This window comes from Homo sapiens, chromosome 12 (genome assembly GCF_000001405.40).
Source record: "Homo sapiens chromosome 12, GRCh38.p14 Primary Assembly".
Lineage (NCBI taxonomy): Eukaryota > Metazoa > Chordata > Mammalia > Primates > Hominidae > Homo > Homo sapiens.
The window spans coordinates 64,339,092-64,363,244 of record NC_000012.12 but is presented as its reverse complement, the minus strand read 5'-3'; the positions used below and the strand labels follow the sequence as shown (position 1 = coordinate 64,363,244).

Below are 24,153 nucleotides of genomic sequence, written 5' to 3'. Positions count from 1 at the left end.
TTTATTTCAAGAATAGTAGCTGGTGCATCACTTGGTTCCAAACCACTTGAGGGTTATACATTCAGCACTGTCAGAGGTTTTTAAACCAGAACAATTCCACCTTGAATAGGAGTTGCGTAAAATGAGGCTGCGACCTACTGGGCCACATTCCCAGGAGGTTAAGGCATTCTAAGTCACAGCATGAGACAGAAGGTCAGCACAAGACACAGGTCTTACCATAAAGACCTTGCTGATAAAACAGGTTGCAATAAAGAAGTCAGCCTGAACCCACCAAAACCAAGATGGCGATGAGGTGACCTCTGGTTGTCCTCACTGCTACACTCCACCAGTGACATGTCAGTTTACGAATGCCATGGCAACCTCAGGAAGTTACCCTATATAGTCTAAAAAGGGGAGAAACCCTCAGTTCCAGGAATTTCCCACCCCTTTCCCAGAAAACTCATGAATAATCCACCCTCTGTTTAGCATATAATCAAGAAATAAATTGGCTATTTTTTTATGGAGTAGCCTGTGGAGTAGCCATTCTTATTGCTTTACTTTCTTTTTCTTTTTTGAGATGGAGTCTTGTTCTGTCACCCAGGCTGGAGTGCAATGGCGCAATCTTGGCTCACTGCAACCTCTGCCCCCCAGGTTGAACTGATTCTCCTGCCTCAGCCTCCTGAATAGCTGAGATTACAGGCACCCAAAACCATGCCTTGCTAGTTTTTGTGTTTTTAGTAGAGATGGGGTTTCACCATATTGGCCAGGCTGGTCTTGAACTCCTGACCTCAGGTGATCCACCCCCTTCACCCTCCCAAAGTGCTAGGATTACAGGTGTGAGCCACCACGCCCGGCCTCGTTTACTTTGTTAATAAAGTTGCTTTCACTTTGCAGTGTGGACTCACCCTGAATTCTTTCTTGTGCCTGATCCATGAACCCTCTCTTGGGTTCTGTATCGAGACCACTTTCCGGTAACAGTTCCTTCCAAAGCAAGTCTTAGGCCAAATATTACAAAATACTATAATTTATGACAGGGAGTGAGAATTTAGGAGACCATTTGCAACTAACTCCAACTTCCCCAGCCCCAGTTTCTAAGGAGAAAAGACAGCTAGTTGCTGTTACTGGAAAGGGGTCCCGATCCAGACCCCAAGAAAGGGTTCTTGGATGTTGTGTAAGAAAGAATTCGAGGCGAGTCCATAAAGTGAAAGCAAATTTATTAAGAAAGTAAAGGAGTAGGCCAGGCAAGGTGGCTCATGCCTGTAATCCCAGCACTTGGGACGCCGAGGTGGGCAGATGACCTGAGGTCAAGAGTTTGAGACCAGCCTGACCAACATGGAGAAACCCCATCTCTATTAAAAATACAAAATTAGCTGGGCGTGGTGGCGCATGCCTGTAATCCCAGATACTCGGGAGGCTGAGGCAGGAGAATTGCTTGAACCCAGGAGGAGGAGGTTGCGGTGAGCCGAGATTGTGCCATTGCACTCCAGCCTGGGCAACAAGAGCAAAACTCCATCTCAAAAAAAAAAAAGTAAAGGAAGAAGAGAATGGCTACTCCATAGGCAGAGCAACCCCAAAGGCTGCTGATTGCCCATTTTTATGGTTATTTCTTGATTATATGCTAAACAAAAGGTGGATTTTTCATTCCTCCCTTTTTAAGACTATATAGGGTAACTTTCTGAGGTTGGCATGGCATTTGTAAACTGTCGTGGCACTGGTGGGAATGTAGCAGTGAGGACAACCAGAGGTCACTCTCATCACCATCTTGGTTTTGGTGGGTTTTAGCTGACTTCTTTACTGCAAGCTGTTTTATCAGCAAGGTCTTTATGACCTGTATCTTGTGCTGAGCTCCTGTCTCATCCTGTGACTTATTATAGGATGCCTTAACCTCCTGGGAATGTGGCCCAGCAGGTCTCAGCCTCATTTTACGCAGCCCTTATTCAAGATGGAGTTGCTCTGGTTCAATTACCTCTAACATTACCATTTATATTGGTGGGGCATACAAATACAGTGCTGGTTCAATAATAATTGTTTTTTTATTTTCTTTTTCTGAGATGGAGTCTCACTTTGTCTCCAGGCTGGAGTGCAGTGGCGCAATCTCAGTTCACTGCAGTCTCTGCCTCCCGGGTTCAAGCGATTCTCCTGCCTCAGCCTCCTGAGTAGATGGGATTACAGGTGCACGCCACCACACCCGGCTCATTTTTGTATTTTTAGTAGAGACCAGTTTCACCACATTGGCCAGGCTAGTCTCAAACTCCCGACTTCAAGTGATACGCCCATCTCGGCCTCCCAAAGTTCTGGGATTACAGGCATGACACCACATCTGTCCCAATAATAATTTTATGCAATTACACTTAAAAGAGTTGATTTATCAAATGTATATAAATGGTGTGATATATTGTTATACCAAAGGTTTTTTGTTGGCAATTCTTAGGAAAAAAAACTATGTTTCCTGATTTGGACTTTTAAAATTATTTTCAGGTATATATTACTTAGATATTATTGCCTGTGCTAAAAAGGGTCTGGATAAAAGCAGTTCTTTCAACTTTCATAAACAGTCCTAAAAACAAATTCAATGTTATATGAAACATGAGAAATCTTAACTTATTTTCAACCTAAATAAGCTAAATAGCCATGCAAAATAGAATTTTACTCACCGTACTTTGAGCTTATTTTAGGACAGTTAGAAAATTTTAAAATTATTTTATAGGATCATTACAATATCCTATCTATCTATCTATCATCTATCTATCATCTATCTACCTACCTACCTATTATCTATATGTTTTCACATTTTGGGGTTAAATGGAAGCTTTGGTTTTTGAATTTTCTTTTTTATTTTTTGAGATGGAGTCTTGCTCTGTCGCCCAGGCTAGGGTGCAATGGCATGATCTTGGCTCACTGCAACCTCCACCTCCCGGGTTCAAGCGATTCTCCTGCCTCAGCCTCCCGAGTAGCTGGGATTACAGGCACCTGCCACCATGCCCAGCTAATTTTTGTATTTTTAGTAGAGACGGGGTTTCGCCATGCTGGCCAGGCTGGTCTTGAACTCCTGGCCTCATGCAATCGCTGGCCTCAGCCTCCCAAAGTGCTGGGATTACAGGTGTGAGCCACCGCACCCAGCCAGTTTTTGAATTTTGTAAAAATGTCTCTGATGTAAAGCAAAAAAATATTTCTTTCAAATAATACCATGTTTAAACTAAATTGCTAACAAGGGATTGAATTCAGCTTTGTCCCTTTAAAGAAATTCTTTTCGCTGGACGCAGTGGCTCACTCCTGTAATCCCAGCACTTTGGGAGGCCAAGGTGGGCGGATCACTTAAGGTCAGGAGTTCAAGACCAGCCTGGCCAACATGGTGAAACCCCATCTTTACTAAAACTACAAAAATTAGCCGGACATGTTGATGGGTGCCTGTAATCCCAGCTACTCAGGAGGCTGAGGCAGGGAGAATTGCTTGAACCCAGGAAGAGGAGGTTGCAGTGAGCCAAGATTATGCCACTCTACTCCAGCCTGGGTGACAGAGCGAGACTCTGTCTTTAAAAAAATAATAATAATAAAAGAGCTTCTTTTCTTTCTACAGGCACTGAGAGCATGTTCTTTGGATTAAGCCTTCCTGCCCTGTTCAGTGCTCACAGTGGAAAAGCTTTTAGAAAACTCTTTACCCCCGCACAGATGTGTAAATTAGGCTTGCTTAGCTCCTGAGTGGTCCTCTCTGGCTTCACAAACACGCTGTGATCTTTAGAAAGAGACATTTTTTAAACAGAGATTTTTATTTTTGAATTTTTTTTTAATTTTTAAAAGTATAAAGGAGGAAATACATCTTTTCCTTCTACCCATCTTAGGTTCGTTGGCTTGGGGCCCTGGTAACAAAAGATAGATTAACAAGAGAAAAACATACACATTTATTTTTTATGTGACATGGGAGCCTTTGTAAGGAAAGGAAGATCTGAAGAAGTGGTTAAACCTGAATGTTTTTATGCTTGGTTTGATGAAGAGAGGAAAGTCATGGAGAAATATAATAGGACAAAGAAAAAGTATGAGCTCAGTGTAACAAATTGGAGAAAGTTAGGCCTAAACAGGCCTAACTGTTCAGATACTTTATCCTTTCCTCTGGATATAGGGAGGGCATCTTTCGCATGAGGGTTTTATGACCTGCATCAAAAGAAGGTTAGAAAATTATTCCTAGATTTTATGACCTGCTTCAGAGAAAGGTCAAAAAGTGCTTCCTGTACATGTCATTCCTCAAGTTCCTTCAGCTTAAAATAATCTGGTGAAGCGCCCTATTTTGGAGTAGTATGTCCTGAACTCCATTATAAGCAAATAAGAAAAAGAAGAAGAAACCACCTTCCTTTCTCTAACACTTTGCCCTCTTTACTTAAGTCCAAGTTGAATTAAATGTTTCTGTTAGAGTTTTGTTCTGTCTATGATTTTGTGACCATAAGTTTTGCAACTGAGATTATTATTATTATTTTTTGGAGATGGAGTCTCACTGTGTCGCCCAGGCTGGAGTGCAGTGGCGTGATCTTGGCTCACTGCAACCTCTCCCTCCTGGGTTCAAGTGATTCTCCTGCCTCAGCCTCCCGAGTAGCTGGGATTACAGGTGTGCACCACCATGCCTGGCTAATTTTTGTATTTTTAGTAGAGAAAGAGTTTCAACACGTTGGCCAGGCTGGTCTCGAACTCCTGACCTCAGATGATGCACCTGCCTCAGCCTCCCAAAGTGCTGCAATCACAGGCTTGAGCCATCATGCCTGGCCAAGATGATGATGATGATGATGATGATGATTATTATTATTATTATTATTACTTTTGAGATGGAGTCTTACTGTGTTGCCCAGGCTGGATTGCAGTGGCATGATCTCAGCTCATTGCAATCTCCACCTCCTGGGTTCCAGCGATTCTCCTGCCTCAGTCTCCTGAGTAGCTGGGATTACAGGCGCATGCCATCACGCCTGGCTAATTTTTGTATTTTTAGTATAGACGGAGTTACACCATGTTGGCCAGGCTGGTCTCGAACTCCTGACCTCGTGATCCGCCCACCTCGGCCTCCCAAAGTGTTGGGATTATAGGTATGAGCCACTGCGCCCAGCCGAGATTATGATTTCTAAATGAATCAATAAGAGAGAAAGGGGGAAATGAGAAATCATAGTACTTTTGGTATGTAATCTTTTGGTACTAGCACTATTCATAGTTTCTTTTTATCACACCTGTCATCATCCCTCCTTTTACATACACAAATATGTCCCCTTGTTTGTGTGACAACCATCAATGTAATCACATATCACCTTACAGTGATGGAGGCTTTGTAGGGTATGTAGAAGTGGCTTTGTTTTCTTTATTTCTTTTTCTTTTTCTTTTTCTTTTTTTTTGAGATGGAGTCTCCCTCTGTCACCCAGGCTGGAGAGCAGTGGAGCAGTCTTGGCTCACTGCAGCCTCTGTCTCCAGGTTCAAGCGATTCTTCTGCCTCAGCCTCCTGATTAGCTGGGATTACAGGCACTTGCCACTAAGCCTCGCTAATGTTTGCATTTTTAGTAGAGATTGGGGGGGTCTCACTATGTTGGCCAGGGTGGCCTCGAACTCCTGATCTCAAATGATCCACCTGCCTTGGCCTCCGAAACTGTTGGGATTACAGGTGTGAGCCACCTCACCTGGCCCGAGATCTCATCTCTACAAAAAAAAGTAAAAATAATTAGCCTAGCCTGGTGGCATGTGCCTGTAGTCTCAGCTACTCAGGAAGCTGAGGTGGGAGGATCACTTGAGCCTGGGAGGCAGAGGTTGCAGTGACCTGAGATTGTACGACTGCACTCCAGCCTTGGCTACAGAGCTCAACCCTGTCTCAAAAAAAAAAAGAAAGAAAAAAAAAAGAAAAAATTATGATTGCTAACACATATTTCAGTTGTCTAATATAATAAGGCAAAGCACCCCCAAGACTGATACATAGGCAATAAAAGCATTGACAAATCTCCCATAAAACAATTTCTGAAATATTTATGTTATACAACTTACTTAAGAACTTACCTATACAAATTTAAGCTAAGGAACACTGAACATCTCTTTGGACTTGACAATTCTTCCCGTGAAACAGTAGTAAATAGACCAAATTATTTCCAGCCTCCTCTTTTCATAAGTTGAAAGACCACATTTTTGTGTGTTTTTTTTTTTAGGAGCCTGCTGATAAATCTCAAAGATGTTTTAGGTGTAAAATATATCCTGAGATTTTAATATATTTCTTTCTTATAATTAGAATCTTATTTGGGGAAGGCAAAAATCAAGTGTTTATTAAAGGAGATTTTGACTTTTGGTTAAGAGAGAATCATGGGTGCCTGAGAAACAATGCCTGGTTACCTAGTGAGTCAAAGTGACAATAAAACATTAAATAATAGACATGGAAAGCAACATGCTTGAAAAGAATGTTAGATATAGTGAACTCCAAGCTTCTCTTCAAGGAATCAGTATGTTAGTATGTTCAGCTCTCTTATTCTCTGTTCTCCATTTTAAAGTTTAACTTCTTGGTTCTCTTCACCCCCTTGCCTCTAGTTTCAGTAAACAACTTTCCCACTTGTTCTAATCAGTAGTTCACATCTGTTCCCCTGGTCACCTGCTTTGACCTGAGTCACCCCTGGTCACCTGCTCCGTCCTGACTTACCTGTTCTGTAACCATCCTTCCTGCCAAACTACTCACCCCACCACTCTGACTTGTACTCCTGCTCTCTTTAAATTAGCCAATTGGAATTAGCTTAGACTGTGCGGTCCAACCCTAGCCAACAGGGGAATGACACAGCAGTAGGGGCTACCTGCATCAGGAATAAGAACCCCTTCCCCTCCCTTGTTCAGGTGTGCTCTTGCCATTGCTCCATCCACGAGTTGCACCCTTCTATGGAAGTAAAAATTGCCTTGCTGAGAAAATTCTTTATCTGAGCACTAGTTCTTTTCAGCACTGAGGAACAAGCATTTGTTTCTAACAAGAACCTCTTTCACAGCATGGAAACTTTGTAAATGAGCACATTCATTAACATGACCAAAATATATAACCTCTCTGTAAAATATAAAAATAAGCTTAAATGTATGGTTTTTTTTTTTTTTTTTTTTTTTTTTTTTGAGATGGAGTCTTGCTCCTGGGCAACAGGCCCAGGCTGAAGTGCAATGGCACGATCTCGGCTCACTGCAACCTCCACCTCCCGGGTTCAAGCAGTTCTCCTGCCTCAGCCTCCCAAGTAGCTGGGATTACAGATGCACACCACCACACCTGGCTAATTTTTTGTATCTTTAGTGGAGATGGGGTTTCACCATGTTGGCCACGCTGGTCTCAAACTCCTGACCTTGTGATCTGCCCAGCTGGGCCACCCAAAGTGCTGGAATTGCAGGTGTGAACCACCATGCCCAGGCAAGTTTATGTATTTTTTATCCTTTTGAAGTTCATAAGCATGGTGATTGGGTTTTCACACTCATGTGTGAGATGTACCACCCTTAAAGCTTGTTATGATGTAGGCACATTACCCATCTGACATGAGAAGAAGAAAAAACAAAACTATATGTATATACACTTAAAATAATGCTCAAGTAGCCAATGTTTCAGTATTCTCTCTTACTTAGGAATTATCTTGGTGTCTGATGATTATCTATTAAGTCAATTTAATATCTGCCCAAGGCTTTAAGTTACCTAAGGATCTTGGAAATTATCTTCAATCTGAGATATTATAAAACATAAAGTTGAAATAAAAATCTATCAGAATAATGATTTCATTATATTGAGCACAAATTTACATTTTTTCTAATTTTTTGAGACCATCTCAAAAAAATTTAAAATTAAATTACTGTTCAAATCATAAAAATAAATAAGACTAATGGAATTAAAATTGTTTAGCCTAAGTCAGAGAAAGTTGAGTGGTGATTTCAGGTACAAATTCATTAACTGGTTTGAATTACTCTACCTATTTGAAAATAATTTTTAAAAATTGAATTTGAGTAGATATTGTTAGCTTTTTATTAATTCATCTTCCTATCTTCAATTACTTTGATTTAGATTTTATAAATTGTATTACTTGATATTTCTTTCTTATATTTGTGAAAAGAAAAATGAAACTGCATGATCACAGGAAACATTTTTATCTAAATTCTAGGTACTCTCAAAAAACTTATACAGGAATTCTGCCTGACCTGCACCTCTTTTTTTTTTTTTTTTTTTTTTTTTGAGACGGAGTCTCACTTTGTTCCCCAGGCTGGAGCGCAGTGGTGCAATCTCAGCTGACTGCAACCTCCACCTCCAGGGTTCAAGCGATTCTCCTGCCTCAGCCTGCTGAGTAGCTGTGACTACAGGCATGCACCACCACACCCAGCTAATTTTTGTATTTTAGTACAGACACGGTTTCACCATGTTGGTCAGGCTGGTCTCGAACTCCTGACTTCAGGCGATCCACTGGCCTCAGCCTCCCAAAGCTCTGGGATTACAGGCGTGAGCCACCGCACCTGGCAACCCCATCTCTTTTTTAAAAGGTGGGAGTAGACCAGGTGCGGTGGCTCACGCCTGTAATCCCAGCACTTTGGGAGGCTGAGGCGGATGGATCACCTGAGGTCCTGAGGTCAGGAGTTCGAGACCAGCCTGGCCAACATGGTGAAACCCCATCTCTACGAAAAATACAAAAAATTAGCCAGGCGTGGTGGCAGGCGCTTGTAATCCCAGATACTCCGGAGGCTGAGGCAGGAGAATCGCTTGTACCTGGGAGGCGAAGGTTGCAGTGAGCTGAGATCATGTCATTGCACTCCAGCATGGGCAACAAGAGCAAGACTCCATCTCAAAATAAAAAAAAAAGAGAGATGGGATCTTGCTATGTTGCTCAGAGTGGGTTATAGTGGTCACAGACAAGTGCACTGCACAGATCATGGCACACTACAGCCTCAACTCCTGGGCTCCAGTGATTCCCCTGCCTCTGCCTCCAGAGTAGCTGAGACCACAGGTGGGCACCATTATGCCTGTCTCACTCTTAGCTTTTCAATCAAATGTTATTGCTGCTTGTCATAGAAAGTGAAGTAGGCTGTTGCAGAGAAGATCTAAATGTCCTATCTATTTATTGAGACCTTTTCCCTTTTTTATCCAGAATAGAGAACAGAGCACGTTGGAGAGAAGGACATTTCCAGTAGTTCAAACCTAGATGTTTGTCTTCCCAGAATCTCTATGAGCTGTTACCTATAAATGGACATTGTCTCCTGCATAGAAAAATCTTAGTGTAAAATCAATTAATTATACATTTTTGAGACCTTTATGAAAAAATTATTTTTAAAATGGAAGTGGACCAGGCACGGTGGCTCACGCCTATAATCCCAGCACTTTGGGAGGCCGAGGCAGGTGGATCACCTTAAGTCAGGAGTTCAAGACCAGCCTGTCCCACATGGTGAAACCCCATCTCTACAAAAATACAAAAATTAGCTGGGCGTGATCGCAGGTGCCTGTAACTCCAGTTACTTGGGAGGCTGAGGCACGAGAATTGCTTGAACCCAGGAGGTGGAGGTTGTAGTGAGCGGAGATTGTGCCATTGCACTCCAGGCTGGGCGACAGAGAGAGACTCCATCTCAACAACAAAAAATAAATAAAATAAAATGGAAGTGGAGAGGGATGTACTTTAACAAATACTGTAACAAAACACTTAGTGTTTATGTAGCAATTCTATAGTGTAAATAGTTTCTTGGGTTCTGTTGTCGAGCACATTTTTGGTAAGGACTAAAACAAATAGAGAAATAATTGGGAAACCTAACAATAAGAAAAGGAAGATGTCCAAGTGGATAAAATGAAGGGGAAAAAAAAAAAGAACTCAGTTTAAACTTTGCGGTGGCTTATGCCTGTAATCCCAGCACTGTGGGAGGCCGAGGTGGGCGATCACTTAAGGTCAGGAATTCGAGACCAGCCTGGCCAACATGGTTAAACCTTGTATCTACTAAAAATACAAAAATTAGCCAGGTGTGGTGGCTCATGTCTGTAATCCCAGCTACTCAGGAGGCTGAGGCAGGAGAATCACTCGAACCCAGGAGGTGGAGGTTGCAATGAGTTGAGATCGCACCACTGCACTCTAGCCTGGGTGTCAGGGTGAGACTCCGTTTTGAAAAATATATATATATGTGGAAAAAAAAAACTTGCTGTTAGCTTTGGGGGATTTATTATACCAAAATAGGTAAGCAGTTGTATTTGTCTTCAATGAGGTGAATTAATTTTTTTTCCAGATTGATGATTACCCGGAATTTTTGAGTTCGCCAGATAGAGAAATCAGCCAACACATTCGTATCATCTATTCTTCAACCGTTTTGAAAAAAGAGTGTAAAAAGTCAAACAGTGTCAGGAAATTCCTATTTCCATTTCATCATACTAAAGCTAACAACAAGAAAGGTAGGTACTTCCAATCTGTCTCTGGATCTAAGGCAAAAAAAAAAGTATATATATATATTTCTTAAAATTGATGCAGGATATTTTGCTTCTTAGTTCAGTTAAAATCCAGGTTCCTATCACGCAGCCAGGAAAATTTAGGCATGGGGACACATTGAAAGATGCGGACAGTGGGATTTATTAAAAGAAAGCTCTCAGTGAAAAAAAGGGGTCTGGCCAACTGGCTCTCACCTCACAGATTGAATATCAGTCTGCCACATGCAAGAGCTGAAGAGGCGAGGCTCATCCTCCTGCACAAGGCTCGAACTCCTGGTGGCTCTAACCCTACTCTCCCAGTGCACATGTGGGCACCCCCATCCATTGCGGGCACACCCAGACAAGACCCTGGGCAGGTTCCCTTATCTTCCTCCTGCGTCTATCTTTCCCCTGTCTAAAGAAGTACATCTAGCTGCCATTAGAATAAGAATAAGGGTAAGAACGAAGAATGATCTTAACTGCTTCCAGCTGACAGGGGGCGCTGTTTTGGGAAAATGGCAGTCAGATCTCCCTCAGAGGCCTGTCTCAGGGTTCCCTGTAGAAGGGGCCATCCTCTGGGGCTCTGGTTGCATGACCATTTGGAGTTTGGTGGCCTGAAAGTGAGAAGAGACAAACTGGCATATTAGAAAACATGTATCAAAATGAAACAAGGGTGGTGGGTAAGGATAGCTCAAAGATCCTGAGGTCTTTTACTTGTTTGCCCAGGGAGAGGGGAGCCAAAAGCCTGACTGGTAAAAAAAAAAACAAAAAAAAAAAAAAAACAAAAACAAAAACAAAAAAACCTTTTACTCTTTTGCTGGCATGTTGGGCTTCTGGGCTCCCTTCCCCTGAGCCCAATCTTAAGCCAACCAGTTTAAGGTTTGGGAAATTAACTTTTCCCAGTTTGAAGGATGTATCCGAAGGGAGTATCCTGTAGTACAGAGATACAATTTCCTATCTGTGAAGCGAGGACAGAGAAGGAAAGAGGAAAGAAAGTGGCTTTTTTTTTTTCCAAAGGAGTCCCAGGGTTTCTGGTTGCATTTGAAAGGGGTACAGCTTGAAGATGAATGGCTACTCCTCTGTTAATAGAAGGAGGGGAATGAGGCATCATCCCACATTCCCATCTCTTCCTAGCGAATACCCAGTATACATGAGGGAGAGAAAGTGAGGCATCCCTCTTTCTTCCATCCTAGTATCCCTGAGTCTCAGGGACCACATCAGGGTGCCATCCATGGGTATCAAAGCGGCTTTCACTGACATTAACAGGGAGGACTAGGGGCTGGGAATATATGCTCTTACTCATGTACACCCTATATCCCCTGCTGTCAGTAGCCGTCGAGTTCCCTTCATTTATGCCATGGATATCAGCATGACCTTTATCCATGAATTGCGAAGCTTGGCTTAATTGGCAGGAATCAGTCACGCTCACCTGTGCTGTGCCTTTTAACTTCTGTTATTGCCTGCACCTGGATCCTTCAGACCCTGCTTTCTTTCCTAGGGCTTTGACCCAAAGCTTGGAATTGAGTTTGGGACAAAAATGTGTCTGCAGGGGAGGGGGTTGCATAGACTCCTTATCATAAGCTGATTGCTAAGGTGTAACTGTGGAATTGAGTCCTCCTCTAACAAGTGAGAGAAAAGGATGTCTTGTGACATGCCCAGATGAGTGGTGGCTATATTTATGCTTGCTAAGATTTGGGTGCATGGGGCTTGGCTTTGGTTAACTCCCTTGGCCTTATTTTCCCAAATGGCAGGATGTGTGGGATAGTTTCTCAGAACTAGAATATTGATCCAGATTTTTACATTACCCATCCACTTTTGTTCCTTATGAGCTATGGCCAGAGGTTGCTGGTTGGTTCACAGGAATAAACAGGGTTAGTCTAAAATGTAGGCAAAAACTTAAAAACAGCTTATCTAAAAAGTCTAGAATTTCATGACAAATGTATAAGTTTTGAAATATAATTTCTTTCTCCCCAGTCCTCATTTTTTGTTAAAAACAAATCATGATAGGACTGAGTTGTTTGCAAAATAGACTTTAGTCTTATATTTGGCCTGATTATTTGCATAAAGTGCAGCAAAGATAATTATTTTTACATAGGCTTTTTAGATTGGTTTTGATGAAACTCTGTTCCACAAGGAATCTCAGATAAGACTTCCTAAAACTGAGCCCAGCCAGGGGCTTTTACTCTCAAATACCTGTAAGTTGAGTAAACTCCTCTCCTTTTGAGGTCCCAAGAGCATGGGATTCCTGGAACTGTTAGAAAGTGATATTCTTTACTCACCACAAATTAGGAACCCTGTATGGGGACTGTATAGACAATGTATCAGGCCAGTTTTCCCAAGAGGCTTTTATCAGCTCTGCAAGTCAAGCTTGACTCCTTAAAGGGAAGCATACTCTTCCAGTCAAAGCCTTGGTAAAACAACCAGTTTCTCCAGTTGCATCCTATTGCAAAGAAAATAGATTTTTTTTAAGCCACTCTGTGGTACGTTATTACTGCAGCCCTATCAAACTAATGCAATGACGTATTCAAACTTGAATTTCATTTTTCTTTATTTTTTCCATAGGTTATTGGGGTACAGGTCATATTTTGTTACATGAGTAAGCTCTTTAGTGGTCATATTTGGTTATATGAGTAAGTTCTTTAGTGGTAATTTGTGAGATTTTGGTGCACCCATCACCCAAGCAGTATACACTGCATCCAATTTGTAGTCTTTTATTCCTCACCTCCCTCCTACCCTTCCCCCTAAGTTCCCAAAGTCCGTTGTATCATTCTTTTTTTTTTTTTTTTTTCTGAGACTGAGTCTTGCTCTGTCACCCAGGCTGGAGTGCAATGGCATGATCTTGGCTCACTGCAACCTCCACCTCCTGGGTTCAAGCAATTATCCTGCCTCAGCCTCCTGAGTAGCTGAGATTACAGGCACCCACCACCATGCCTGAGTAATTTTTGTATTTTTAGTAGAGACAGGGTTTCACCATGTTGGCCAGGCTGGTCTCGAATTCCTGACCTTGTGATATGCCTGCCTTGGCCTCCCAAAGTGTCAGGATTACAGGCGTGAGCCACCATTCCCAGCCCATTATATCATTCTTATGCCTTTGTATCCTCATAGGTTAGCTACCACAAATCAGTGAAAATGTACAATGTTTGCTTTTCCATTCCTGAGTTACTTCACTTAGAATAATAGTCTCCAATCTCATCCAGGTCACTGTGAATGCTTTTTATGGGTGAGTAGTATTCCACAGTTTCTTTATCCACTCATTGATTGATGGGCATTTGGGTTGGTTCCGCAATTTTGCAATTGTGAATTGTACCACTATAAACATGTGTGTGCAAATATCTTTTTCATATAAAGACTTTTATTCCACTGGGTAGATGTCCAGCAGTGGGATTGCTGGATCTAATGGTAGTTCTATTTCTAGTTCTTTAAGGAATCTCCACAGTTTTCCATAGTTGCTGTACAAGTTTACATTCCCACCAGCAGTGTAAAAGTGTTCCCTGATCACTGCATCCATGCCAGCATCTATTGATTTTTTGATTATGGCCATTCTTGCAGAAGTAAAGTGGTATTGCATTGTGGTTTTGTTTTGCTTTCCCTTGATCATTAGTGATCTTGAGCATTTTTTCATATGTTTGTTGGCCATTTGTGTATCTTCTTTTGAGAATTGTTTATTCATATCCTTAACCCACTTTTTGATAGGATTGTTTTATTCTTGCTAATTCATTTGAGTTCGTAGTAGATTCTGGATATTAGTCCTTTGTCAGATGTATAGATTGTGAAGGCAGGAGAATCATTTGAACCTGGGAGGCAGAGGTTGCAGTCAGCTGAGATCACACCATTGCACTCCAGGCTGTGCAGCAGAGTGAGACTCTGTCTCAAAAAAGAAAAAAATAATTACTTCAGTTTTCCATTAGTTCAGTCCATTCAGTTAACTCTTGTTTTGCTTGATATTTGTGGACAATTCAGCTCTTCATGAGTCCTTACGTTTTTCTTTTATTCCAATGTCACAATCTCAAAAGTTATCAGAAACCTGAATTTGAGAGCATCTGTCAAAGTTCTATAGCTGATTATAAACCATCCTTTGAAGAGGATCAAGACAAGACAAAAAACTTAACATAACAACCTTAATTGTGATTGATAGCCTATACTCAGACATTAGAATTTTAGAAATCCCATAAATTTTGGAACATATATTAATATTATTCCCTAAAATATAACCTGAGGAAGATTAAACATACCCATGTACCTAAACATATCAGGTAATCCTGTTTACCTCTCTTCTGTATGCCCCAGGGGCCCTCTGTAGCATCCAAAAGCTAGCCATCAAGAAAGACAATTTTGAAACTGAAGTTTGATTTGGGGAAGACTGTTAAATATGTTAGAGTGTTAAAGCACTTGATGTTATGAAATAGAATACCAGATTACCTTAAGTTATTTATTTTGCCAAAATGATGACTTGGACATTTTTTAAAAAGCAAAAACCTTTTACAATCCTTTATAAATTTTGCTGAAGAGCAGATTAGTGCCTTAAGAGTACCTTGTTGTGCTTTTATTTTAATTCTCAATTTGCAGAAAAACCATATAATACCCCCCTACCCCTGCTTTTTTTTCATATGGAGTCTTGCTCTGTTGCCTAGGCTGGAGTGCAACAGCATGATCTCAGCTCACTGCAACTTCTGCCTCCCAGGTTCAAGCAATTCTCCTGCTTCAGCCTCCTGAGTAGCTTAGATTACAGGCATATACCACCACACCTGGCTCATATTTTATTTTTAGTAGAGATGGGGTTTTGCCATGTTGACCAGGCTGATCTCCAACCCCTGTCTTCAGGTGATCTGCTTGCCTTGGCCTCCCAAAGTACTAGGATTACAGGCATGAGCCACCATGCCCAGTCCATGTAATAGCCTTTTGAATTTAGTTAATCTGTTCACACACAGAATTTCTTTCACAAGATTAATTCTTACAATCATTCCACAACTTGTTCAAATTTTTAGGTTTATCTTATCTAATTCAAAACAATCCTTTAACGCTAGGCAAAAATTTATATTTTGATGACATCTGCATTTTGCCAATAATCTTTAAGACTGTTTTTATTTCTCAAAGATTAAAGTTACATAAACTAAAAGGTACCACAGCTTTTGTCTTCCCTTTAAAACGTATTTGATCCAAGTGCTTATCCTTCCTTAGGTCAATTAATTAGATCTCTTTTTATAGACATCACACACTCAACACATATATAACTAGAGAGACAGGTAGAAGAAGATCCATCCTGGGGGACAGAGTGAGACCCTGTCTCTAGAAAACAGGGAAGTTAGGCTGGGTACAGTGGCTCAAGCCTGTAATCCCAGCACTTTGGAAGGCCAAGGATCATGAAGTCAGGAGTTCGAGACTGGCCTGACCAATATGGTGAAACTCTGTCTCTACTAAAAATACAAAAATTAGCCAGGCGTGGTGGCATGCACCTGTTATCCCAGCTACTCAGGAGACTGAGGTAGGAGAATTGCTTGAACCCAGGAGGTTGAGGTTGCAGTGAGCCGAGATCATGCCACTGTGCTCCAGCCTGGGAGACAGAGCAAGACTCTGTCTCAAAAAAAAAAAAAAAAAAAGTTACTAGGCTGGGCATGGTGGCTCACACCTGTAATCTCAGCACTTTGGGAGGCTGAGGTGGGTAGATCACTTGAGGTCAGGAGTTCAAGACCAGACTGGCCAACATGGTAAAACCCCGTCTCTACTACAAATACAAAAAAATTAGTTGGGTGTGGTGGCACACACCTGTAGTCCCAGCTCCTTGGGAGGCTGAGGCAGGAGAATCACTTGAACCGAGGGGGTGGAGGCTGCAGTGAGCTGAGATCGTGCCACTGCACTCCAGCCTGGGCAAGACAGAGCGAGACTCCATCTCAAAAAAAAAAATGTAACTAGATAGACAGATATAGATAGATATATATATAGATATAGGTATAGATATAGATATTTTCTTTTTCAGACCGTGTCTTAATTTGTTGCCCAGACTGGAGTGCAGTGGTCCTTGTGCCTAGTTCCTCACACAGAGCTTCTGAAACATTTAGAATTTCCTGAGTGATAAGAACATTGTTTGTTATTCATAACAAGCTCCTTTCAACAATAGAACAAATGCTAATGAGATGACACTTGGTGGGCCTCTAGATAGCTTCAGGATGGGGCTGGTTGCCAGAGGAACCAATCATGTGATTAGAGAGTTAGAACTTTCACTCCTCCTCTACTGCCACCCACATCTCTAACCTCCTGGGATGGAGAGGGACTAGAGATTGAGATGATCACCAGTGACCCATGATTTAATAACTCATGCCTACTTAATGAAACCTCCATAAAAATTTTTAAATGGGTTGGGCACTATGATGATTAATACTGAGTGTCAACTTGATTGAATTGAAGGATGCAAAGTTTTGATCCTGGGTATGTGTGTGAAGGTGTTGTCAAAGGAGATTAACATTTGAGTCAGTGGGCTGGGGAAGGCAGACCCACCCTTTATCTGGGTGGGCATAATCTAATCAGCTGCCAGTGAGGTTAGAATATAAAGCAGGCAGAAAAATGTGAAAAGAGAGACTCGCCTAGCCTCTCAGCCTACATCTTTCTCCTGTGCTGGATGCTTCCTGCCCTCGAACGTCGGGCTCCAGGTTCTTCAGTTTTGAACTCGGTCTGACTCTCTTTGCTCCTCAGCCTATAGACAGCCTAGTGTGGGACCTTGTGATCATGTGAGTTAATACCTACCAAACTCCCCTTTGTATATGTATATATTCCATTAGTTCTGTCCCTCTAGAGAACCCTGACTAATACAAATTTTGGTACCAGGAGTGGTTCTAGAGGAACTGAATATTAAGGATGGAGTTCTTTCATTGGTTTTGGGGTTTCTGGAGTTGACTGCTTTACATGCTTAGACCAAAAAATGCTAAGGACTCTACTTCTAATAGTATGGAGAGCACTGATAGTCCTTGGCATAAACTGTTTAGAGAGTGCAAAATAAATGCATTTGACATTCTTGATTCATCGCTCATGAGAGACAAGGAGTTTAGTGACTCTATGCATACTACATTTGTATGAAGTATTATGTAGACAACCAAGGAACATAATGAAGCTTGTTGGTTGCTCCTAAATTCTGCAGACAAAGTGATGAAAGAAAATGATAAACTCAGGGATTCTATCTACCAGCGTCAGAAGCAGATACTGAACCTCTAGTCTGCTTAGATTGCCCTGAGTGAGAGTCTTATCTCCTATAGTGAAAGAGCTACAATTGTGGAAAAACAGACACAAGCTCTTATCATGCAAGTCGCTGACCTGCAATGGAAGATACATGCACAGCTTCACCAGGTGTCTACTGTTAAAGTTAGGGCATTGACTGGAAAAGAAAGGGACCCTGCAACTTGGAATGGGAATGTGTGGGAGGACCCTGATGAAGTTGGGGACACTGAGTTTGTAAACTCTGATGAACTTTTTTTTGCCAGAAGAAACAGCTTCCCTAGCCCCAGTAATGGCAACATCCCATCCCTGATCCATGCTGCCATCAGTCTTTCCACCTTTGCCTGAGGAGATAAATCCTGCACTGCCTGAGGCAACAGTGATGGCCTCCCCTGAGGCAACAGTGATGGCCTCCCCTGAGGCAGTTGCCAGGCAAAATAATGTTGACTCTCCTCAGGACCCACCCCCCAATGTTCCTGTTTGCTTGTAGACCTATAACTAAAGTCCCCGTAGGCCCCTGGAGGTTGAGAGTATGACCCCATAAGGAGGTGTGCTACATTCAAAAAGAACCTCATGAGTTTTCTAATTTTTTTAAACAACAATCTGGAGAACAGACATGGGAATGGATATTAAGGGTGTGGGATAATGGTGGAAGGAACATAGAGTTGGATCAGGCTGAATTTATTGATTTGGCCCCACTAAGTAGGGACTCTGCGTTTAATGTTGCAGCTCAGGGAGTTAAAAAAGGTTCTAATAGTTTATTTGCTTGGTTAGCTGAAATATGGATTAAACGATGGCCCACTGTGAGTGAGCCGGAAATGCCTCATCTCCCTTGGTTTAATGTAGGGGAAGGCATCCAAAGGCTTAGGGAGTTTGGGATGGTGGAGTGGATTAGTCATTTTAGAGCTACTCATCCCAGCTGGGAGGGTCCAGAAGATATACCCTTGACCAATGCCTTGTGAAATAGATGTGTGAGGGCAGCACCTGCATCTTTGAAGAGCCCTGTAATTGCTCTTCTCTGTATGTCAGATCTAACGGTGGGAACTGCAGTCACTCAACTATGAAATTTAAATACAATGGGAATAATTGGATCCCGAGGTGGCAGTGGCCAAGTGGCAGCACTCAACTGTCAAAGGCAAGGTGGGCATAGTTACCATAATGGACAGCAGAGGCAAAACAATCAGAATAGTCTGACTCACATAGAGTTGTGGCATTGGCTAATTAACCACGGTGTTCTTAGAAATGAAATTAATAGGAAGCCTACTGCATTCCTACTTAATTTATATAAGCAGAAAACTTCTAGGTCGAATGGACAAAAGACTAATTTGAATTATGAAAACAGAGGATCATGGCCTCTTAATCAGTTTCCAGATTTGAGCCAGTTTACAGACCCAGAACCCCTTGAATGAAGGGGAGGTCATGTCCCCTTAAGGAAGGACCCCACTACATTACCAACAATTTATGCAGTGAATCTTTCTCCCATCCTTCCCCCAGGAGACCTGTGACCTTTTAGCAGGGTAACTGTGCATTTGGGAAAGGGAAATGATCAGATGTTTAGGGGACTACTGGACAATGGCTCTGAGCTGACATTGATTCCAGGGGACCCAAGACATCACTGTGGTCCTCCAGTTAAAGTAGGGGCTTATGGAGGTCAGGTAATTAATGGAGTTTTAGCTCAGCTTCGAGTTACAGTGGGTCCAGTGGGCCCCTGGACTCATCCTGTGGTCATTTCCCCAGTGCCAGACAGCATAATTGGCATAGACATACTTAGCAGCTGGCAGAACCCCCACATTGGCTGGTAGATTGAGGGCTATTATGGTGGGAAAGGCCAAATGGAAGCCATTAGAGCTGCCTCTATCTAGAAAGATAGTAAATCAAAAACAATATTGTGTCCCTGGAGGGATCATGGAAATTAGTGCTACCATCAAGGACTTGAAAGACGCAGGGATGGTGATTCTCACCACATCCCTGTTCATCTGTCTCCCATTTGGCCTGTGCAGAAGACAGATGGATCTTGGAGAATGACAGTGGATTATTGTAAGCTTAACCAAGTGGTGACTCCAAGTGCAGCTGCTGTACCAGATGTGGTTTCATTGCTTGAGCAAATTAACACATCTCCTGGTACCTGGTATGCAGCCATTGACTTGGCAAATGCCTTTTTCTCCATTCCTATCCATAGGCCCACCAGAAGTAATTTGTCTTCAGCTAGCTAGGCCAGCAATATACCTTTATTGTCCTACCTCAGGGGTATAGCAACTCTCCAGCTTTGTGTCATAATCTTATTCAGAGAGACCTTGATCGCTTTTTGCTTCTGCAAGATATCACACTGGTCCATTACATTGATGACATTATGCTGATTGGATCTAGTGAGCAAGAAGTAGCAAACACACTGGACTTATTGGTGAGACATTTGTGTGCTAGAGGATAGGAAAAAAATCCGACTAAAATTCAGGGACCTTCTACCTCGGTAAAATTTCTAGGGGTCCAGTGGTGTGGGGCCTGTCGAGATATTCCTTCTAAGGTGAAGGATAAGTTGCTTCATTTGGCCCTCTCTACAACCAAGAAAGAGCCACAATGCCTAGTGGGCCTATTTGAATTTTGGAGGCAAGACATCCCTCATTTGGGTGTGTTACTCTGGCTCATTTATCAAGTGACCTGAAAGGCTGCCAGTTTTGAGTGGGGTCCAGAACAGGAGAAGGCTCTGCAACAGGTCCAGGCTGCTGTGCAAGCTGCTCTGCCACTTGGGCCATATGACCTGGCAGATCCAATGGTGCTTGAGCTGTCAGTCACAGATAGAGATGCTGTTTGGAGCCTTTGGGAGGCCCCCATAGGTGAATTACAGAGGAGGCCTCTAGGATTTTGGAGCAAGGCCCTGCCTTCTGCAAATAACTACCCTCCTTTTGAGAAACAGCTCTTGGCCTGTTACTGGGCTTTGGTGGAAACTGAACGTTTGACCATGGGTCACCAAGTCACCATGTGACCTGAACTGCCTATCATGAACTGGGTGCTTTCTGACACATCTAGCCATAAAGTGGATCATGCACAGCAGCATTCCATCATCAAATGGAAGTGGTATATATGTGAACGGGCTCAAGCAGGTCCTGAAGGCATAAGTAAGTTACATGAGGAAGTGGCTCAAATGCCCATGGTTTCTGCCACCCTGCCTTCTCTCCCCTAGCCTGTATCACTGGCCTCACGGGGAGTTCCCTATGATCAGTTGACAGAGGAAGAGAAGACTAGGGCCTGGTTCACAGATGGTTCTGCATGATATGCAGGCACCACCCGAAAGTGGACAGCTGCAGCACTACGGCCTCTTTCTCGGACATCCCTGAAGCACAGTGGTGAAGGGAAATCTTCCCATTGGGCAGAACTTCGAGCAGTGCACCTGGATGTGCGCTTTGCATGGAAGGAGAAATGGCCAGATGTACGATTGCATACTGATTCATGGGCTGTAGCCAATGGTTTGGTGGATGGTCAGGGACTGCCAGAAGAAGCTTCCAGAAGAAGCATTATTGGAAAATTGGTGACAAAGAAATTTGGGGAAGAGGTATGTGGATGGACCTCTTTGTGTGGTCAAAAACTGGGAAGATATTTGTATCCCATGTGAGTGCTCACCAACGGGTGGCCTCAGCAAAGGAGGATTTTGATAATCAAGTGGATAGGATGACCCATTCTGTGGACACCACTAAGCCTCTTTCCCCAGCCAACCCTGTCATCACCCAATGGGCCCATGAACAAAGTGGTCATAGTGGCAGGGATGGAGGTTATGCATGGGCTCAGCAACATGGACTTCCACTCACCAAAGCTGATCTGGCTATGACTACTGCTGAGTGCCCAATTTGCCAGCAGAAGAGACCAACACTGAGCCCTCAATATGGCACCATTCCTCGGGGTGATCAGCCAGCTACCTGGTGGCAGGTTGATTATATTAGGCCTTTTCCATCATGGAAAGGGCAGAGGTTTGTCCTCATCAGAATAGACACTTACTCCGGATATGGGTTTGCCTATCCTGCACTCAATGCTTCTGCCAAGACTACCATCTGTGGACTCACGGAATGCCTTACCCACCTTCATGGTATTCCACACAGCATTGCCTCTGACCAAGGCACTCACTTTACGGCTAAAGAAGTGTGATGTGGGCTCATGCTCATGGAATTCACTGGTCTTACCATGTTCCTCCTCATCCTGAAGCAGCTGGATTGATAGAATGGTGGGATGGCCTTTTGAAGTTACAATTACATGGCCAACTAGGTGACAATACTTTGCAGGGCTGGGGCAGAGTTCTCCAGAAGGCCATGTATGCTCTGAATCAGCATCCAATATGGTGCTGTTCCTCCCATAGCCAGGATTCATGGGTCCAGGAATCAAGGGGTGGAAGCGGAAGTGGCACCACTCACCATCACCCCTAGAGATCCACTAGCAAAATTTTTGCTTCCTGTTCCCATGACATTACATTCTGCTAGCCTAGAGGTCTCAGTTCCAGAGGGAGGAATGCTGCCACCAGGAGACACAACAACGATTTCATTAAACTGGAAGTTATCATATCCACCTGGACACATTGGGCTCCTCCTACCTTTAAGTCAACAGGCCAAGAAGGTAGTTACAGTGTTGGCTGGGGTGACTGACCCAGACTATCAAGATGAAATCAGTCTACAACTCCACAATGGAGTTAAGAAAGAGTATGCATGGAATACAGGAGATCCATTAGGGTGTCTCTTAGTGTTACTATGCCCTTTGATTAAGGTCAGTGAGAAACTACAACAGCCCAATTCAGGCAGGACTACAAATGACCCAGACCCTTCATGAATGAAGGTTTGGGTCACTCCACCAGGAAAAAACCATGACCTGCTGAGGTGCTTGCTGAAGGCAAAAAGAATACAGAATGGGTAGTAGAAGAAGGTAGTCATCAATACCAGCTATGATGACGTGACCAGATGCAGAAACAAGGACTGTAATTGTCATGAGTATTTCCTCCTTCTTTCGTTAAAAACATGTTTGTGCATGTATACACTTGTACTAAGAAAATATCTTCATTTTATTTCCTTTTTCCTTTAGCATGTGACATAAGATTTATTGACTTTACATCAGCATTTAAATATTGTTAACTTTATGGAATAGTATTTGGGTTGGGGATTGTTGCATTTCTGGTTGTACAAAGGATAGTTGTATTATGCTAGGCATAATTATGACCTTATTATTGTCTTTATTTGAAGGTTATGTATGATCTCAGGGGATGTATATGGGTTTAAGTTGACAAGGGGTGGACTTGTGATGGTTAATACTGAGTGTCCACTTCATTGGATTGAAGGATAGAAAGTATTGATCCTGGGTGTATCTGTGAGGGTGTTGCCAGAGGAAATTAACATTTGAGTCAGTGGGCTGGGGAAGGCAGACCCACGCTTATTCTGGGTGGGCACAATCTTATCATCTGCCAGCACAGCCAGAATATAAGCAGGCAGAAAAATGTGAAAACAGAGACCGGTCTAGCCTCCCAACCTACATCTTTCTCCTGTGCTGGATGCTTCCTTCCCTCAAACATTAGACTCCAAGTTCTTCAGTTTTGGAACTCGGACTGGCTCTCCTTGTTCTTCAGCCTGTAGACAGCCTATTGTGGGACCTTGTGATCATGTGAGTTAATACTTAATAAACTTCCATATATATATATGGGAGTTCTCTACCCATTCTGTATAAATGTCCATATATATAAATATATGGAAGTTATCATATATATACAACTGGAAGTTATCATATCCACCTGGACACATTGGGCTCTATATATTTATTCCATTAATTCTGTCCCTCTAGAGAACACTGACTAATACAGACATTGTGGCTCACACTTGTAATTCCAGCACTTTGAGAGGCTAAGGTGGGACAATTGCTTAAGGCAGGAGTTGAGACCAGCCTGGGAAACATGGCAAAACCCTGTCTCTTCAAAAAATACAAAAAGTAGCTGGGTGTAGTGGTGCACACCTGTAGTCCCAGCTACTCAGGAGGCTGAGGTGGGAGAGTCACTTGAGCCTGGGAGGTTGAGGCTATACTGAGCCATGATCACACCACTGCACTGAAGCCTGGGTGACAGAGAAAGACCCTGTCTGAAAAACAAACAAACAAACAAATACAAACTTAAAAAAACCCTTAAATGACGGGGTTTGGAGAGCTCCCAAGTTGGTGACCACATCAAGTTCTTGGGACAGTGGTGCACCAGGAGAGGGCATGGAGGCTTTGCACCCCTCCCCTGATACCCTGCTCAATACATCTCTTCCACTTGGCTATTCCTGAATATAATCCTTTATAATAAACTGGTAATAGGAAATGAAGCACTTTCCTGAGTTCTGTGAGCTGTTCTTGCAAATTATTAAACCTGAGGAGGTGCTTGTGGTAAAGGGGAGGAAAGACTTTTCCCCTACCTTCTTAGGTTTTGTGGCTGTTTCTGAGGATTAAGCTGAGAAAAGGCAGGTTAACAGGAGATAAGGATACACATTTTATTTGACGTTAACATTTTTACATGGCAGGGGAAACTTCATAGAAGAGAAATGAAGACCCAAAGAAGCCGACAGGCCTGAGTGCTTATATACCATGTTAAC

The 24,153-nt window shown here is 42.7% G+C and overlaps 1 protein-coding gene and 1 non-coding gene across 8 annotated transcripts in view; both read left to right on the top strand.

Moving 5' to 3' along the window:
- C12orf56 (chromosome 12 open reading frame 56) overlaps nucleotides 1–24,153 on the top strand; it is a 125,997-nt gene that overhangs the window by 27,514 nt on the left and 74,330 nt on the right. For all 7 annotated transcript variants that reach the window (NM_001099676.3, NM_001170633.2, XM_047428257.1 and 4 more), the window contains exon 2: nucleotides 10,189–10,351. In NM_001099676.3, coding sequence (NP_001093146.1) covers nucleotides 10,189–10,351 — 163 coding nt within the window. The remainder of the gene's footprint in view (nucleotides 1–10,188; nucleotides 10,352–24,153) is intronic.
- LOC124903101 (small nucleolar RNA U13) lies at nucleotides 7,380–7,483 on the top strand. The gene has a single exon (XR_007063638.1). It is a non-coding gene; the product is annotated as a small nucleolar RNA U13 (small nucleolar RNA).